Raw genomic sequence first — 18,103 nt, 5'->3', positions numbered from 1 at the left:
CCTGTAATCCCAGCACTTTGGGAAGCCGAGGCGGGCGGATCACCTGAGGTCAGGAGTTCGAGACCAGCCTGACCAATATGATGAAACCCCGTCTCTACTAAAAATACAAAAATTAGCCTGGCATGGTGGCATTCACCTGTAATCCCAGCTACTCAGGAGGCTGAGACAGGAGAGTCGCTTGAACCCGAGAAGCGGAGGTTGCAGTGGGCCGAGATCATGCCATTGTACTCCAGCCTGGGCAACAAGAGAGAAACTCCGTCTCAAAAAAAAAAGAGTAAAGCCACTCCCCTTCTCATCCTCCCCTACCCGCACTCCCGAACTTTCAAATTCCCTCTTAGCATGCGCAGCACCTTTGAGAAGTAGCAGTGGAAGGAACTCCAGATGAGGGGAAGTCATTCAGGATCAGGTGGCAGGGGTGGCAGCCCAGATCCCCCCATCCCTGCACTGCCAAGGACTTTCTGGAAGGTCCAGGCTGCTGCTTTCTTTCCACCACACTGAGGAACATTTAGCCCCAAACACTCATCCATTCAGTAGATAGTGAGTGGGACCACAGGGTAGATGTGCCAGTAGTATGTGCGGCTGGTTATTTTGTGGTGTGGGGGAGGGGGAGCTTGACACAGAAGAAAGAGCCCACAAAAGATACAGACTGTCCTGGATAAGGAGACTGGAGGGAGTAGTTGGTGAATTTGGGGCAAGAGATAGCCAATTTTTTTCTTTTTTTCTTTTTTCTTTCTTTTTTTTTTAAGAAATAAGTTTTGCGCTTGTCACCCAGGCTGGAGTGCAATGGCACAATCTCGGCTCACTGCAACCTTCGCCTCCTGGATTCAAGCGATTCTCCTGCCTCAGCCTCCTCCCGAGTAGCTGGGATTACAGGCGCCGGCCACCATGCCTGGCTAGTTTTTGTATTTTTGGTAGACAGGGGGTTTCATCATGTTGGCCAGGCTGGTCTGGAACTCCTGACCTCAGGTGATCCAGCCGCCTCAGCCTCCCAAAGTGCTGGGATTACAGGTGTGAACCACCGGGCCAGCCAGAAAGCCACATCTTGAAAGGTGAGTAGGAGTAGGGGGTGCTAGGGATCCCTGCTAGGTAGAGAGACTGGAAGGAGCAACGGCCAGGAGGGGTCAGAGCCCCGCCCAGCAGGCAAACTGGCAAAAGCTTGGCTGATTGAGAAGCAGGCCAAGCCCACTGACAGGCACCAAATTCCCAGGGCCTCTAGTTGAGAGGTTCTTAGACAGGGCTAGGGTTCAGGGGCTTGGATCACTCAGGAACTTTTGCAGAGTTTGATGTGAGCACATTTTCTGTGTGATGGAATATTAGTTTTCTATTGCTGTTGTAACAAATTACCACAAACTTAGTGTCTTTAAGTGACACAAATGTATTATCTTACAGTTCCGTTAAGTCAGAAGTCTATAATGCCGGCTCACTGGTCTAAAATCGAGTTTTCAGTGGGGCTGCATTCCTTTCTGGGGGTCTAGGGGAGACTCCCTTTTCTTGCCTTTGCTAGCTTCTGGGCTTTTCTTAGGTCAAGCCCTTCTCTATATTAAAATCCAGCGTTGTTGGTAGAGTCCTCCTGCTGCCACTTCTGATGCTCACCACCTGTCTTCCTCTTCCACATATAAGGCTCCTGAAGCTGGGCACGGTGGCTCACGCCTGTAATCCCAGCACTTTGGGAGGCCAAGGCGGGCGGATCACTTAGGGTCAGGAGTTCAAGACCAGCCTGACCAACATCGTCAAACCCCATCTCTACTAAAGATATGAAAATTAGCCAGGCATGGTGGCAGTCACCTGTAATCCCAGCTACTTGGGAGGCTAAGGCATGAGAATTGCTTGAACCCAGGAGGTGGAGGTTGCAGTGAGCTGAGATCATGCCACTGCACTCCAGCCTGGGCGATAGAAAGACTCAGTCTCAAAAAAAAAAAAAAAAAAGGGCCAGACGCGTTGGCTCACACCTGTAATCCCAGCACTTTGGGAGGCCGAGGTGGGCAGATCACAAGGTCAGGAGTTCAAGACCAACCTGGCCAACATGGTGAAACCCCGTCTCTACTAAAAATACAAAAAATTAGCCGGGCATGGTGGCACGCACCTGTAACCCCAGCTACTCAGGAGGTTGAGGCAGGAGAATTGCTTGAACCCGGGAGGCAGAGGTTGCAGTGAGCCGAGATCGCACCACTGCACTCCAACCTGGGCGACAAAGCAAGACTCTGTCTCCAAAAAAAAAAAAAAAAAAAAAAAGAATATCTGGCTTCTTTCTCCAGAATATAAAGTTGGAACTTAAACGTTGTGGTTTATGTTGGCATCCCAGGCTGAGGGGGTGGGTGCTGGGGTGAGGTGGGTGAGATGCTGGTGTGCTGTGTCTGTGGTTCTGAGTTGGGTTGGTTGGGATGGTCTCCACTAATCTGATTATCCTGTTTGCCCCCGTCCCAGGGCTACCCATGTACGTGAAGTCCCTGTACTGGGCCCTGGCGTTCATGGCTGTGCTCCTGGCAGTCTCTGGGGTTGTCATTGTGGTCCTGGCCTCAAGAGCAGGTATGGTGTCCCTGCAGTCCCCATCCCCTCTCCCTGCCGCTCCACTACTGGGGCTGTGTTTCCAGCCCTTAAAACACCTTAGAATTAGAAAGAGACACTGGGAGATGCAACACGAAGACATGGTGCTTGATGAGCAAAGTTAAGGAAAATGGGTGCCTTCCTCCCACTGGATACAGCTTGTGCCCTGATAAGCAATCAGATGCCAGCTGCCACCCCGGGGACTTTGTGCACTGCACAGACTATAAAAGCTCCCTGGGGCCCTGCCCACCTTGAGGTTTGCCAGTTCCATGCCCCTTCATTTGAGGCAGCAGCCAGGCTTTGTTTATTTAATGCAGCTTACCCTGCAGCTCACCAGCAGTCTCTGTGCTTGCAGGAGCCAGATGCCAGCAGTGCCCCCCAGGCTGGGTGTTGTCCGAGGAGCACTGTTACTACTTCTCTGCAGAAGCGCAGGCCTGGGAAGCCAGCCAGGCTTTCTGCTCAGCCTACCACGCTACCCTCCCCCTGCTAAGCCACACCCAGGTGAGAAGGGGGTGTCCAATCTAAGGGGGTACAGATCTTTCTAGACCACAGAATCCTAGCACTGGAAAGAAGCTTAATGATTGAGTCCAGCTCTTCATTATAGAAATCACCAAGGTGTAGAGGAGTAGCATGACCATAACTTCGTGCAGCCTCTAACTCCTGTGCTCAGGCAATCCTCCTGCCTCAGCCTTTTGGGTAGCTACAGGCATGTGCCACCATGCCCAGCTTTAAAAAAAATTTTTTTTTGGCCAGGCACAGTGGCTCACACCTGTAATCCCAGCACTCTGGGAGGCCAAGGCAGGCGGATCACAAGGTCAGGAGTTCTAGACCAGTCTGACCAACACAGTGAAACCCTGTCTCTACCAAAAATACAAAAATTAGCCGGACATGGTGGCGGGCGCCTGTAATCCCAGCTATTTAGGAGGCTGAGGCAGGAGAATTGCTTGAACCTGGGAGGCAGAGGTTGCAGTGAGCCGAGATCACTCCACTGCACTCCAGCCTGGGCAACAGAGCAAGGCTCCGTCTCAAAATAAATAAATAAATAAAAATAAAAATAATTTTTTTTTAAGGGACAGGGTCTCACGATGTTGGCCAGGCTGGTTCAAACTTCTGGCCTCAAGTGATCCTCCTTCCTTAGCCTCCCAAAGTGCTGGAATTACAGGCCATGAGCCACTGCGCACAGCCAAGCACTTATGTTTTTAATCGTTGGTCTCTGGGTCATCTTTTGATAGGCTGGGCTTGGCTGGACAGCTCAGCTTTATAATGCAGATTGCCAGGGCTTGGTTTGAGGCTGCAGGTTGGGTCTGTGTAGAATATTCCATCCCCATGGGAGAGGGAGAGGAGTGGATGTTTGCTGAATAGTAATCCAGTCAGTGGGTTTGAGAGCATCTACAAAAAGGGACCAATAGATAGGATCCAGTCCTTGGCATAATTTTGTTTTCCTTTTTTATTTATTTATGTGTTGTGTCTCACTCTGTTGCCCAGGCTGGAGTGCAGTGGCATAATCTCGGCTCACTGCAACCTTCACCTCCCGGGTTGAAGGGATTCTCTTGCCTCAGCCTCCCAAGTAGCTGGGATTACAGGCATGTGCCAGCACACCTGGCTAATTTTTGTATTTTTAGTAGAGATGGGGTTTCTCCATGTTGGTCAGGCTGGTCTCAAAATCCCCACCTCAGGTAATCCGCCCGCCTCGGCCTCCCAAAGTGCTGGGATTACAGGTGTGAGCCACTGCGTCCAGTGTTGTCCTTTTTTTTTTTTTTTTTGAAACAGGTCCTCACTCTGTTGCCCAGGCTGAGTACAGTAGTGCAGTCATGGCTTACTGCAGCCTTGAACTCCCAGGCTCAAGCAATCCTCCCACCTCAGCCTCCTGAATAGCAAGGACTACAGTCATGTGCCACCACAACTGGCTAATTTATTTTTTGTAGAGACACAAGTCTTGCTATGTTGCCCAGGCTGGTCTTAAACTCCTGGACTCAAGCGATCCTCCCACTTCGGCCTCTCAAAGTGCTGGGATTACAGGTGTGAGCCACTGTGCCTGGCTTTTTTTTTTCCCCATTTAAAAAAATTGTGGGCCGGGCACAGTGGCTCACGCCTGTAATCCCAGCACTTTGGGAGGCCGAGGCGGGTGGATCACAAGGTCAGGAGATCGAGACCATCTTGGCTAACACGGTGAAACCCCGTCTCTACTAAAAATACAAAACATTAGCCGGGCGCGGTGGCGGGCGCCTGTAGTCCCAGCTACTCCAGAGGCTGAGGCAGGAGAATGGCATGAACCTGGGAGGCGGAGCTTGCAGTGAGCCGAGATTGTGCCACTGCAATCCGGCCTGGGCTAAAGAGCGGGACTCCGTCTCAAAAAAAAAAAAATTGTGTTAAAATACACATAACATAAAATTTACCATCCTAGCCATTTTAAGTGTACAGCTGAGTGATATTAAATACATTCATAATGTTGAGCACCTATCACCACCATCCATCTCCTGAACTCTTTTCGTCTTGTACAACTGAAACTCTAACCCCTCTAAACACTGATTCCCCATTTCCCCCGCCCCCAATCCCTGGCAGCCACCAAGCTGCCTTTTCTCTCTCTCTCTTTGGTTTGAACTATTCTAAGAACCTCATACAAGTGGAATCGCACAGTATTTGTCTTGTTGTGACTGGCTTATTTCACTTAGTATCATGTCCTCAAGGCTCACCCGTGTCGTAGCCTGTATGAGAATTCCCTTCCTTTTTAAGGCTGAATAATACTCCATTGTGTGTATGCACCACATTTTGCTTATTTGTTCACCGGTCAGTGGACAGACCCTTGGGTTGCTTCCATGTTTGGGTTGTTGTGAATAATGCAGCTATGAATTTGGGTGGACAAATATCTCTTCGAGACCCTGTTTTCAGTTCTTAGAGTATATACCCAGAAGTGAGAATTGCTGGATCATATGGTAATCCTATTTTTAATTTTTTGAGGAATTGCCATACTGTTTTCCATAGGGGCTGTGCAATTTTACATTCCCAGCAATCCTTGGCTTAATTTTACCTGGGGGCAGGTGCCAGGAATTTATATTCGCTGTTCTGGTATGTATGAAAACGCAGCACTCCTTCCGTCAGTGCTTTAATGAGTGTGTATTAAGCACTTACTCCGTGTTTGGCAAGGGGGATTCAATAATGAGCCAGAATAGCACAGCCCCCACCTTGACAAAGCTAAGACAGCAGTGAGTGAGGCAGACGTCAATCAGGAAATCACAGAAATAGATGTTTAATGACCACACTGATCTGTGCTGTGAAGGGACGGTGCACAGTGCTACGAGAGTAAATGACAGGAGGGTGTGACCTGAAGGTCAAGGTGAGCAAGGCAGCATGTGCCTTTCCAAAAACATTCAAGAAAAGATAGTGAGGCCGGGTGCAGTGGATCACACCTGTAATCCCAGCACTTTGGGAGCCTGAGGAGGCAGGAGGATCACCTGCAGTCGGGAGTTCAAGACCAGCCTGGCCAACCTGGTGAAACCCCGTCTCTACTAAAAATACAAAAATTAGCCAGGCATGGTGGCATGCACCTGTAGTCCCCACTACTTGGGAGGCTGAGGCATGGGAATCGCTTGAACCCAGAAGACAGGATGCAGTGAGCCAAGATCGCGCCACTGCTCTCCAGCCTGGGTAACAGAGTGAGACTCTGTCTCAAGGAAAAAAAAAAAAGATAGTGACACCGGGCCAGAGAGCCTTCTGGAATCCTCTCTTCTCTGTTCCAGTCTGGACCTGTTGCTCACCAGGCCTGCTGCACAGCTGTTCTGGAATTTCTATTTACCTGCATCCTCAGTATGCCTTTTGCCTCCCTCCTCCGTGGGATTCCCTGTTTCCTAGGTCGCATGTCTTTTCGTTGGTTTCACCTCAGTCTCCTCAGTGGAGTCAGAGTTTTGCCACCTTGCCCAGGCTTGTCTCAAACTCCTGGACTCAGGCGATCCGCCTGCCTCAGCCTCCCTAAGTGCTGGGATTACAGACATGAGCCACCGTGCCTGGCCTCAATTTCTTGAGACCTTTCGTGCTTAAAGAACTTTTATTCTAACCTCCAAGCTAACAATCACTTGGCTGGTGTGTAGGAAAAACACTCAAACTGTCTTTCCTCTGCTCTTACACAACAACAATCAACCCAGAAAGCGTCTGTGACCAAATGTGTTTTTTTTTTTTCTCTTACCCACGAAGCAGTGGGCACCAGCTGGGTGTCCTGTAATTTAATTCAATTCTGATGCTGTTTTCCCGGAGATAGCTTCAGATCCCACAGTTTGAGGGTTCAGTCCCTAAGGCTGCCCAGCTTCAGACGCCCGTCGCAAGTCCAGGCCTCTGGAACTTCTGAGTGGCTGGCTTCAAGTTTGGACTCCCACGTTCCCTCTTTGGGTTTGATTAATTTGCTAGAGCAGCTCACAAAACTTAGGGAAACACATTTACTGGTTTGTTACAAAGGGTATTTTAAATGATACAAACACACAGCCAAAGGAGATGCACAGGGTGAGATCTGGAAGAGTCCCAAGCACAGGAGATTCTGTCCTTATAGAGCTGGGTGGGGTGTGCCGCCACCCCCCCAGCACGGGGACGAGTTCTTTTTTTTTTTTTTGAGATAGAGTCTTGCGCTGTCACCCAGGCTGGAGTGCAGAGGTGCAATCTCGTCTCACTGCAACCTCCACCTCCCAGTTTCACGCCATTCTCCTGCCTCAGCCTCCCAAGTAGCTGGGACTACAGGCGCCCGCCACCACGCCTGGCTAATTTTTTGTATTTTTAGTAGAGACGGGGTTTCACCATGTTAGCCAGGATGGTCTCGATCTCCTGACCTCGTGATCCGCCTGCCTCGGCCTCCTAAAGTGCTGAGATTACAGGCGTGAGCCACCGCGCCCAGCCTGGGACAAGTTCTCACTCACCTTCCTGTTAGCCTCTATGTGTTCAGCCTATCCGGAAGCCCCCAAACCCTGTCCTGTTGGGCCTTTTGTGGAGACTTCGTTGGACAGGCATGACTAAAGCAGGGACAACTGTGTCAAGATTTGATTGGGCAGAAAGGATTTGATCTCATACTAATAGACTAGGCAGGAAACCCAGCGAGGCCTGTCTGCTCCAATTCTTCTTGGCCTGTCTCTGCAGCATTCCTTCCTTCAGAGATGGGCCAGGACCCTCCCTAGAATAGGGTCTTATGACCCACAGCAGATTAGAGTCCTGCCTTGGGCAGAAGGTCAGAGAGAGAGATTCTATTTCCTAGGTCTGGGCCTGCATCTGAGGCCTGGAGCACCACAGCATTATAACAAATCCTGTGTCAAGGGCTATGGGAGTTATAAGCCAGGAACTGTGGACAAGACATTTATTTTATTTTATTTTGTTTTATTTATTTATTTTTTTGAGACAAAGTTTCACTCTGTCGCCCAGGCTGGAGTGCAGTGGGGCGATCTCAGCTCACTGCAACCTCCACCTCCTGGATTCAAGCAATTCTCCTGCCTCAGCCTCCCAAGTAGTTGGAATTACAGGCGTGTGCCAACATGCCCAGCTAATTTTTTTGTATTTTTAGTAAAGATGGGGTTTCACCATGTTGGCCAGGCTGGTCTCAAACTCCTGACCTCAAATGATCCACCTGCCTCAGCCTCCCAAAGTTCTGGGATTACAAGTGTTAGCCACCATGCCCAGCCAAAAACATTATTTTAGATAGAGATATGGAGATAGAGACATAGATATCATAATATCACATCTGGGTATAGAATTCTAGGTAGAAAATCGCTTTTCCCCAGAATTCTCCGTGACTGTCAGCTCTTAGTCTTGCCATTAAGAAGTCTGAGCCAAGGTGGGGCACAGTGGCTCATGCCTGTAATCCCAGCACATTGGGAGGCCAAGGCAGATGGATCACTTGAGGTCAGGAGTTCGAGATCAGCCTACGCAACATGGTGATACCCTATCTCTACTAAAAATACACACACACAAAAATTTAGCTAGGCATGGTGGCACACAACTGTAGTCCCAGCTACTCGGGAGGCTGAGGTACTAGAATTGCTTGAACCCAGGAGGTGGAGGTGGCAGAGCCAAGATTGTGCCACTTGCACTCCAGCCTGGGTGACAGAGTGAGACTAGGTCTCCAAAAAAAAAAAAAAAAAAAAGTCTGAGCCACTCTGATTCCCAGTTCTTTGTATGTCATTCATTTTTATTTCTTCTCTGGAAAATTTCAGTGTCTTCTTTGTTCTCAGTGTTCCGAAATTTAATAATATGCCCTGTGGGCCTTTTTCTTCTTCATTTACATTTTTGCTGCCTTGTTTCTAATTTTTAGAACTGTTTTGACCTTTCAAATGTTCCTTTTTTACAGTGTCCTGTTCTTGTTTCATGGATGCCATCTTTTCGGTCTTGAACTCCTGACCTCGGGTGATCTGCCCACCTCTGCCTCCCAAAGTGCTAGGATTACAGGTGTGAGCCACTGTACCTGGCTGATGCCATCTTTTCTTATCTCATTGTGGATGCTGGTGTTTTTGAAATTTTCCTCTGCTCCCTGCATTAGCTCTGATTTTTTGTGTGTACTTTTTATTCTGTTTATTGTTTGTCTTTTGCATGTTAGAAAATTTCCTCAAATGTTGTGATCCTCAGCTGCTGTCATTGAGAGTAAAGTACTAAATTACAGATTAAGTGTTCTATGTCGGGTGGGAGGGTGAGGGTGAGGCTGAGCTTTTTTAGAGGCAGGCTTTACCATATGGGAATCAGGCAGGGACTCAGTCATTTTCTTAGTGATGCTGAGCTGTCATCATTGCGCGGATAGGAGGGGGTGGTTTCACCTCTAAGTGTGTAGCACTTAAATATCCTTCCCTTTTTATTTATTTATTTTTATCTTTATTTTATTTTATTTTAGACAGAGTCTTGGTCTGTCACCCAGGCTGGAATGCACTGGAGCAATCTCAGCTCACTGCAACCTCTGCCTCACAGGTTCAAGTGATTCTCCTGCCTCGGCCTCCTGAGTAGCTGGGATTATAGGGTCGAACCACCACACACAGCTAATTTTTGTATGTTTGTAGAGACGGTGTTTTGCCATGTTGGCCAGGCTGGTCTCAAACTCCTGGCCTCAAGCGACCCACCCACCTCGGCCTCCCAAAGTACTGGGATTACAGGCGCGAGCCACCGCATCCCCTTCCCTTTTTAGTATAAACACCTTCACCCTTAACTGAACCCTGTATCCTGGATTCTAAAAGCCTCTGTGGTTCGTCTTTCCGAATAGCTCTGCCAGTTAGTTACCTCGCTGCATGGGGAAGATGAGTGGATCTTTGGGCTGGGGGTGGAGGGTCCTAACTGTTTCTTTTACAGACTTTCAACCGGTCCTTTTTCCCGTACATTGGCCTTCAGAAGGACCTGTTGTCTCTAATACTTAAGCTTTGGGGGCTTCTCAATTCAAATTGGGGTATTTCTTGGCTTTCTCCCAGCTGTCTATCTGTCCTTTCCTTGAAAACCACTGAGCTTTCTCAGCTCTATGAGGCTGTTACAGTTGTCCAGCTTCCAAAATGTTGATGTTTCTCATCTGATGTTGTCTCTTCCCATTCTTTTTTTTTTTTTAATGGACACGGGGTCTTACTATGTTTCCCAGGCTGGTCTTAAACTCCTGGGCTCAAGTGATCTTCCTGCCCTGACCTCCCAAAGTGCTGGGATTACAGACATGAGCCACCGCACTCAGCTTCTCTTCCCATTTTTTTTTGTCCTTTTTTCTTTCTATTTTTTAAAAAATTCTATTTTTATTTAAGAGTTTTAAATATGAATGAGTTTAAATCATTGAAGGCTTTCTATGCATCCAGTGGGATGATAGTATCTTTTTTGTTTCTCCTTTTAATCTCTTGTGGCGGTTTGTTTGTTTGTTTTATTCCTGGCTTCATGTGGTCAAGTCTGCTTAGTCATGATTTTTTTCCCCAAATATTTCTGGACTTGACTTGTTAATATTTCACTGAAGATTTTTGCATGCATGACGTTTTGTTGGACTGTCCCTACCTGGAATCAAAGTTATTCTGCCCCACACAATAGGGAGGGGAGGGAGTTTCTAGCTTTTGTTTCTTCTGGGATTGTTCCTGGAAGTGCCTGCCATGCATTGCAGAAGGATTAGGTGTCCAGGCTCTGTCCTGGGATTAGGGGTCAGGAACTGCCACACGTCAGGTGACAGCTCCGAAACAGTCTGTGGCCTGGTATCCCCACCTTCTGTATTGTGCTTCCCAGCCCTTTATCCCACCCACTTTGGCTGTCATATCCACACCTCTCTGAGACACACACCTCCTCTGAGACTCACCTCTGTTCGTGCCACCTCGCCTGGGGACAGACAATGAGTGACAGTGGAGGGACAGAGCCCTGAAGAACTGGCCACTGGGCCTGTCCTGCCAGCTGCCTGCAGTGCCTGACGTCTCTTGCCCTGGAGGAGCCAAGAGGAGCCCTCCTGAGAACCCCTAGGGACCCTTGCGAGAGCAGGACAGGAAGTGAATTCTTTTTTTTTTTTGAGACCGAGTCTCGCTCAGCTGTCCAGGCTGGAGTGCGGTGGCACGATCTCGGCTCACTGCAACCACCATCTCCCAGGTTCAAGTGATCCTCCCATCTCAGCCTTCCGAGTAGCTGGGGTTACAGGCACCTGCCATCATGCCTGGCTAATTTTTGTATTTTAGTAGAGACAGAGTTTCACCATGTTGGCCAGGCTGGTCTTAAACTCTTGACCTCAGGTGATCTGCCCACCTTGGGCTCCCAAAGTGCTAGGATTACAGGCGTGAACCACCACTCCCAGCCGAGAAGTGAATTCTTGAACACACATGTCAGTATCTCTTATTGCTGTATATTTTTCTCATTATTAAGTAATACATTCACTGCAAAAAGTTTGGAAAACATAAACATTTAGAAAGAAAATAAATTTTACTCATTATCTCGTACCTAAAGATAAGCACTAACAAAATATTTTGGAATACCTACTTCCAGGCTTTTTTCTATGATATGTAACTTTGTCTTTAAAACAAAAATGGAAGTCCGGGCCCGGTGGCTCACACCTGTAATCCCAGCACTTTGGGAGGCTGAAGCAGGTGGATCACCTGAGGTCAGGAGCTCAGGACCATCATGGCCAATATGGTGAAACCCTATCTCTACTAAAAAAAAAAAACAAAAATTATCCAGGTGTGGTGACGGGGACCTGTAATCCCAGCTACTCAGGAGACTGAGGCAGGAGAATCGCTTTAACCTGGGAGACAGGGGTTCCAGTGAGCCAAGATCGTGCCATTGCACTCCAGCCTGGGCGATAGAGTGAGACTCTGTCTCAAATTAAAAAAAAAAAAAAGGAATGTGCTGTTTCCTAATCTGGTTTTATTTTATTTTTGTTTTTGTTTTTTTTAGAGACAGGTCTCTGTTGCCCAGGCTGGAGTGCAGTGGTGCCATCATAGCTCGCTGCAGCCTCGAACTCTCCTGACTCAAGCAATCCTCTTGCCTCAACCTCCCAAGTAGCTGGGACCACAGGCATGTGCCACCACACCCAGCTAATTTTTTATTTTTTGTAGAGATGAAATCTTACTATGTTGCCCAGGCTGATCTCAAAATCCTGGCCTCAAGCGATCCTCCCACCTCAGGCTCCCAAAGTCCTGGGATTGTAGGCATGAGCCACTGCACCTGGCTTTTTCTGTTTTTCTAACTTTTGTTTAAATCTTTGTCAGTTTGACAGAGGAAAAAGAAGACTGGCTTTGCATTTGTTGTATTTCCACATAAGGCCAGACCATGGCTCATACTGGTTTGGCTGTCTGGAAATAGTCTTAGAATTGCTTATCCATAGCCGGGCGCAGTGGCTCATGCCTGTAATCCCAGCAATTCGGGAGGCTGAGGCGGGCAGATCACGAGGTCAGGAGATCGAGACCATCCTGGCCAACATGGTGAAATCCCGTCTTTATTAAAAATACAAAAAAATTAGCTGGGCATGGTGGCACACACATGTAGTCCCGGCTACTTGGGAGGCTGGGGCAGGAGAATCGCTTAAATCTGGGAGGTGGAGGTTGCAGTGAGCCAAGATCACACCACTGCATTCAAGCCTGGCAACAGAGCGAGACTCCGTCCAAAAAAAAAAAAAAGAATTGCTTACCCATGCCCTGTTTCTTTTCTCTTAGCATTACTCGGTCTTTTTCTTGTTGATATGTAGGAGCTCTTTCCTTTGGTTGTCCACCTCTTATGTAGGGAATATCCTTATGCTCTTAGGCACACTTGTGCTATAAGGAATCTCTACTCCTTACGCCCCACAGTGTCCTGACCGTGTGCTGGAGACTGGGCATGCAGGGGTGCGGAACGCATGGCCGGGCCTCAGGGTCCAGCAGGAGCCCTCAGATCTTCCTCCTAGTCCTGTAGTCTTCCATTTATTAAAGAAGTGAAACCTGTTTTCAAATCTTACTGTATTAGCCGGGCGTAGTGGCTCACGCCTGTAATCCCAGCACTTTGGGAGGCCGAGGTGGGTGGATCATCTGAAGTCAGGAGTTTGAAACCATTCTGGGCAACATGGTGAAACCCCATCTCTACCAAAAATACAAAATTAGCGGGACATGGTGACGCATGCCTGTGATCCCAGCTACTTAAGAGTCTGAGGCAGAAGAACACTTGAACCCAGGAGGCGGAGGTTGCAGTGAGCCGAGATCGCGCTACTGGGTGACGGAGCGAAACTCTGTCTCAAAAAATAAATAAGTAGGCTGGGCGTGGTGGCTCACACCTATAATCACAGCACTTTGGGAGGCCGAGGCAGGCAGATCACTTGAGGTCAGGAGTTCAAGACCAGCCTGGGCAACATGGTGAAACCCCGTCTCTACTAAAAATACAAAACTTAGTTGAGCGTGGTGGCACACGCCTGTAGTCCCAGCTATTCGGGAGGCTGAGGCAGGAGACTCGCTTGAACCTGGGAGGCAGAGGCTGCAGTGAGCAAAGATCGCACCACCGCACTCCAGCCTGGGTGACAGCGAGACCCTATCTCAAAAAAATAAGTAAATAAACAAATCTTATGGTATTAGTTTACTGGGGCTGCTATAGCAAAATACTGCAGACTGGTTAGCTTCAACAAGCTGACTTTCTCACAGTCCTGAAGGCTGGAAGTCTGAGATCAAGATGTCAGCAGGTTCTGGGTTTCCAGAGGCCTCTCCTTGGCTTTCAGGTAGTGGCCCTTCTCCCTGTGTCCTCACATGGCAATCCTGTGCCCTCCCATCTCTAGTGTCTCTCGGCATGTCTAAATTTACTCCTCTTGTAACAACCCCAGTCACATTGGATTAGGGGCCACCCGAACAGCGTTATGTGCATTTAATGTTTAATCACTCTTTAAAAGCGTGACTCCAAGTACGGTCACATTTTGAGGTACTGGGGGTTAGGGCACCCACATATGAACTTTAGGGTGACAGAATTCATCCCGTCACACTTACGGAATCCCAACACTTAAAGACTGACACATGTGACATTTTGATTTGTGTCAAATTGTTTTATAAGTTCAAAAGAGAACACTATCCTTTTCACTCACGTCCGTGTGAAGAGACCACCAAACAGGCTTTGTGTGAGCAACAAGGCTGTTTATTTCACCTGGGTGCAGGCGGGCTGAGTCTGAAAAAAGAGTCAGCGAAGGGAGATAAGGGTGGGGCCATTTTATAGGATTTGGGTGGGTAGTGGAAAATTACAGTCAAAGAGGGTTGTTCTCTGGCAGGCAGGGGCAAGGGTCACAAGGTGCTCAGTTGGGGAGCTTATGAGCCAGGAAAAGGAATTTCCCAAAGTAATGTCATCAGTTAAGGCAGGAATTGAAGGGGTGGGTTGCCCCTCCACACCTGTGGGTCTTTCTTGTTAGGTGGAACGAGAGACTTGGAAAAGAAAAAGACACAGAGACAAAGTATAGAGAAAGAAATAAGGGGGCCCAGGGGACCAGCGTTCAGCATATAGAGGATCCCGCCAGCCTCTGAGTTCCCTTAGTATTTATTGATCATTCTTGGGTGTTTCTCGGAGAGGGGGATGTGGCAGGGTCATAGGATAATAGTGGAGAGAAGGTCAGCAGATAAACACGTGAACAAAGGTCTCTACCTCATAGACAAGGTAAAGGATTAAGTGCTGTGCTTTAGATATGCACACACATAAACATCTCAATACCTTAAAGAGCAGTGTTGCTGCCCGCATGTCCCACCTCCAGCCCTAAGGCGGTTTTCCCCTATCTCAGTAGATGGAACATACAATCAGGTTTTATACCGAGACATTCCATTGCCCAGTGACGAGCAGGAGACAGATGCCTTCCTCTTGTCTCAACTGCAAAGAGGCATTCCTTCCTCTTATACTAATGCTCCTCAGCACAGACCCTTTACTGGGTGTCGGGCTGGGGGACGGTCAGGTCTTTCCCTTCCCATGAGGCCATATTTCAGACTATCCCATGGGGAGAAACCTTGGACAATACCTGGCTTTCCTAGGCAGAGGAACCTGCGGCCTTCCGCAGTGTTTGTGTCCCTGGGTACTTGAGATTAGGGAGTGGTGATGACTCTTAACGAGCATGCTGCCTTCAAGCATCTGTTTAACAAAGCACATCTTGCACCGCCCTTAATCCATTTAACCCTGAGTGGACACAGCACATGTTTCAGAGAGCACGGCGTTGGGGGTAAGGTCATAGATTAACAGCATACCAAGGCAGAAGAATTTTTTTTAGTACAGAACAAAATGGAGTCTCCTATGTCTACTTCTTTCTACACAGACACAGTAACAATCTGATCTGTCTTTCTTTTCCCCACAAGGAATAGGCCATTTTCACTTCTTTTGTGGTTCTTCACTTCAGGCCACCTGGATGTATATATATGTGCAGGTCACAGGGGATATGATGGCTTAGCTTGGGCTCAGAGGCCTGACATTCTTGTCTTCTTATATTAGTAAGAAAAATAAAATGAAATAGTGGTAAAGTGTTGGGGCGGCGAAAATTTTGGGGGGTGATATGGAGAGATAATGGGCGATGTTTCTCAGGGCTGCTTCGAGCGGGATTAGGGGCGACATGGGAACCTAGAGTGGGAGAGATTAAGCTGAAGGAAGATTTTGTGGTAAGGGGCGATATTGTGGGGTTGTTAAAAGGAGTATTTGTCCCATAGAATGTTTGGTGATGGCCTGGATGCAGTTTTGTATGAGTTGAGAGACTAAACAGAAGACACAAGGTCCAAATAAGAGAAGGAGAAAAACAGAGATTAAAGGACTAAGAATTGGGAGGGCCCAGGACATCCAATTAGAGAGTGCCTAAGGGGGTTCAGCCTAATTACTTGCTTGGTTGGCAAGTTTTTAGGCTCTATCTTTGAGCTTTTTTTTTTTTTTTATGTTGTCATATACCAGGCCAGATTGATTTAGGTAAAAACAGCACTGTTCATTTAAAAATATACAGAGTACCCCCCCCTTTTTTTATTTTTTTTATTTTATTTTTAGCAGTGAGTAAGTCGAGGCCTCGGCGATTTTGGAGGAAAGAGAAATGCAAAGCTAGCAATTGTTAAAGAAGGATTAGAAACGGCTAGGAGAGAGTGACTGAGATTGATAGTGTGGTGGAGATAGCTGGGGAGAGGTAGAGCGTGGCATAAGAACGGGAACAAGAGTAAGAGTGAGTATAAAAGTAAAGAATAGGACTTCATCAGGGTGAAAGTATTGGAGTGTACTTTGTCACTGAAGATCTTCTATCCACTTAAAGAGAGACTTAAGGGTGGGGATTTGAGGTAAAACCAGGAGCCACTAAATAACAAGAGCCTGAGAAACTGCTTGGGTGATTTGACTAATAAAGGCCGGTCCATTATCAGACTGTATAGAGGTGGGAAGGCCAAACCGAGGAATTATGTCTGACAGAAGAGAAGAAATGACCGCGGTGGCCTTCTCAGACCCTGTGGGAAAGGCTTCTACCCACCCAGTGAAAGTGTTTACCCAGACCAAGAGGTATTTTAGTTTTCTGACCCGGGGCATGTGAGTAAAGTCAATTTGCCAGTCCTGGGCAGGGGGCAAATCCCCGAGCTTGATGTGTAGGGAAGGGAGGGGGCCTGAATAATCCCTGAGGAGTAGTAGATAGCAGATGGAACACTGAGATTTTTTTGAGGATAGATTTTTACGATGGAAAGGAAATGAGAGGTTCTAAGAGGCAGACCAGCGGCTTGTAACCTACATGGAAGAGGCTATGAAATGATGACAGAATAGAATGGGCCTGTGAGGCTGGAAGGAGATATTTTCCTTGGTCCAAGAACCATTTGCCTTGTGTGGGAAGAGATTGATAGGTGCAAGTTTGAGTGGGGGAGTAGGTGGGAGTGGCCAGATGAGAAGGAGAAAAACTGCCATGAGGGATAGAAGTTGGAATGCTAGGTGCTTTTTTAGCTACCTTATCAGCATATGCATTGCCCTGAGCAATGAGAGGTCTGATGCCTTTTGATGGCTGCTTGCAGTGAATGACTCTAGCTTCCTTCCTTTCTTTCTTTCTTTTTTTTTTTTTTTGAGACAGAGTCTCACACTCTCGCCCAGGCTGGAGTGCAGTGGTGCCATCTCGGCTCACCGCAAGCTCCGCCTCCCAGGTTCACGCCATTCTCCTGCCTCAGCCTCTGGAGTAGCTGGGACTACAGGCACCCGCCACCATGCCTGGCTAATTTTTTGTATTTTTAGTAGAGACGGGGTTTCACCGTGTTAGCCAGGATGGTCTCGATCTCCTGACCTTGTGATCCACCCACCTCGGCCTCCCAAAGTGCTGGAATTACAGGCGTGAGCCACCGCGCCCGGTGACTCTAGCCTCCTTTGGAAGTAAAGCGGCTTTGAGAAGAGTTTTTATTAAAGAGGCATTAATGATGGAGGACCCTTGCATAGTGAGGAAATTTCTTTCTGCCCATATAACAGCATGGTGGTGCAGGATATGGAAGGCATATTTAAAGTCAATATAAATATCGATGCGTAGTCCTTTTGCAAGAGCAAGGGCTCGAGTGAAGGCAATGAGTTTGGCTAGTTGAGAGGTAGTGGACGGGGGCAGAGTGGTAGCCTCACTGATAGGTGTGGAAGATACTATAGCATAGCCTGCCTTTGCTGGTGAGTGGCAGTTAGGCCTGGTGGAACTGCTATCAATAAACCAAGTGTGTTCAGGGTGAGGAACAGGAAAGAAGGAAATATGGGGAATTGGAGTGAATGTCAGGTGTGGTATCAGGAATAATGTGGGAGGCCGGATTGAAGTCCGGGCCAGTAACAATGGTAATTGTGGGAGACTCAACAAAGAGCGAGTATAGCTGAAGGAGCCAGAGGGCAGAAAGTATATGTGTCAGGTGTGAGGAAGAAAATAGATTTTGGAAGTTATGAGAACTGTAGAGAGTGAGTTGAGCATAGTTTGTGATTTTGAGGGCCTCTGAAAATATTAAAGCAGCGGCAGCTGCCACACACAGACATGAAGGCTAGGCTAAAAGAGTAAGGTCAAATTGTTTGGACAGAAAGACTACAGGGCGCGGTCCTGGCTCTTGTGTAAGAATTCCGACCACAGAGTCCTGCACTTTGGCTGTGTATAATGAAAAAGGTTGGGATGAGTTAGGGAGAGCTAGTGTGGGAGCAGCTTTTAGAGCTGTTTTTTAAGGAATGGAAAGGG

The 18,103-nt window shown here is 47.9% G+C and overlaps 1 protein-coding gene across 4 annotated transcripts in view, besides 6 other annotated features; it reads left to right on the top strand.

The window, feature by feature from the left end:
* Positions 1 to 18,103, top strand: part of KLRG2 (killer cell lectin like receptor G2) — a 56,576-nt gene that overhangs the window by 1,002 nt on the left and 37,471 nt on the right. For 3 of the 4 annotated variants that reach the window (XM_011516141.3, XM_005250311.4, NM_198508.4), the window contains exons 2-3: positions 2,425 to 2,526; positions 2,900 to 3,045. In XM_011516141.3, the coding sequence (XP_011514443.1) occupies positions 2,425 to 2,526; positions 2,900 to 3,045 (248 nt within the window). Of the gene's footprint in view, positions 1 to 2,424; positions 2,527 to 2,899; positions 3,046 to 8,860; positions 9,169 to 18,103 lie in introns of those variants that run through there. The other variant, XM_011516140.3, reaches the window with a different exon arrangement.
* Positions 2,353 to 2,853: an enhancer, noted in NCBI's record as "H3K4me1 hESC enhancer chr7:139164565-139165065 (GRCh37/hg19 assembly coordinates)". NCBI's record gives its function as "activates a minimal SCP1, AML or CMV promoter by ChIP-STARR-seq in naive H9 embryonic stem cells {active_cell/tissue: H9 hESC(naive)}" and the evidence as "EXISTENCE:reporter gene assay evidence [ECO:0000049][PMID:30033119]".
* Positions 2,854 to 3,354: an enhancer, noted in NCBI's record as "H3K4me1 hESC enhancer chr7:139164064-139164564 (GRCh37/hg19 assembly coordinates)". NCBI's record gives its function as "activates a minimal SCP1, AML or CMV promoter by ChIP-STARR-seq in naive H9 embryonic stem cells {active_cell/tissue: H9 hESC(naive)}" and the evidence as "EXISTENCE:reporter gene assay evidence [ECO:0000049][PMID:30033119]".
* Positions 12,312 to 13,031: an enhancer, noted in NCBI's record as "H3K4me1 hESC enhancer chr7:139154387-139155106 (GRCh37/hg19 assembly coordinates)". NCBI's record gives its function as "activates a minimal SCP1, AML or CMV promoter by ChIP-STARR-seq in naive H9 embryonic stem cells {active_cell/tissue: H9 hESC(naive)}" and the evidence as "EXISTENCE:reporter gene assay evidence [ECO:0000049][PMID:30033119]".
* Positions 13,032 to 13,753: an enhancer, noted in NCBI's record as "H3K27ac-H3K4me1 hESC enhancer chr7:139153665-139154386 (GRCh37/hg19 assembly coordinates)". NCBI's record gives its function as "activates a minimal SCP1, AML or CMV promoter by ChIP-STARR-seq in naive H9 embryonic stem cells {active_cell/tissue: H9 hESC(naive)}" and the evidence as "EXISTENCE:reporter gene assay evidence [ECO:0000049][PMID:30033119]".
* Positions 14,476 to 15,197: an enhancer, noted in NCBI's record as "NANOG-H3K27ac hESC enhancer chr7:139152221-139152942 (GRCh37/hg19 assembly coordinates)". NCBI's record gives its function as "activates a minimal SCP1, AML or CMV promoter by ChIP-STARR-seq in naive H9 embryonic stem cells {active_cell/tissue: H9 hESC(naive)}" and the evidence as "EXISTENCE:reporter gene assay evidence [ECO:0000049][PMID:30033119]".
* Positions 16,642 to 17,363: an enhancer, noted in NCBI's record as "NANOG-H3K27ac-H3K4me1 hESC enhancer chr7:139150055-139150776 (GRCh37/hg19 assembly coordinates)". NCBI's record gives its function as "activates a minimal SCP1, AML or CMV promoter by ChIP-STARR-seq in naive H9 embryonic stem cells {active_cell/tissue: H9 hESC(naive)}" and the evidence as "EXISTENCE:reporter gene assay evidence [ECO:0000049][PMID:30033119]".

The sequence above is a fragment of the Homo sapiens genome, chromosome 7 (genome assembly GCF_000001405.40).
Source record: "Homo sapiens chromosome 7, GRCh38.p14 Primary Assembly".
In the NCBI taxonomy this organism is placed as follows: domain Eukaryota; kingdom Metazoa; phylum Chordata; class Mammalia; order Primates; family Hominidae; genus Homo; species Homo sapiens.
Note: the sequence above shows the minus strand (reverse complement) of the source record. Positions and strands in the feature narration are given on the sequence as shown.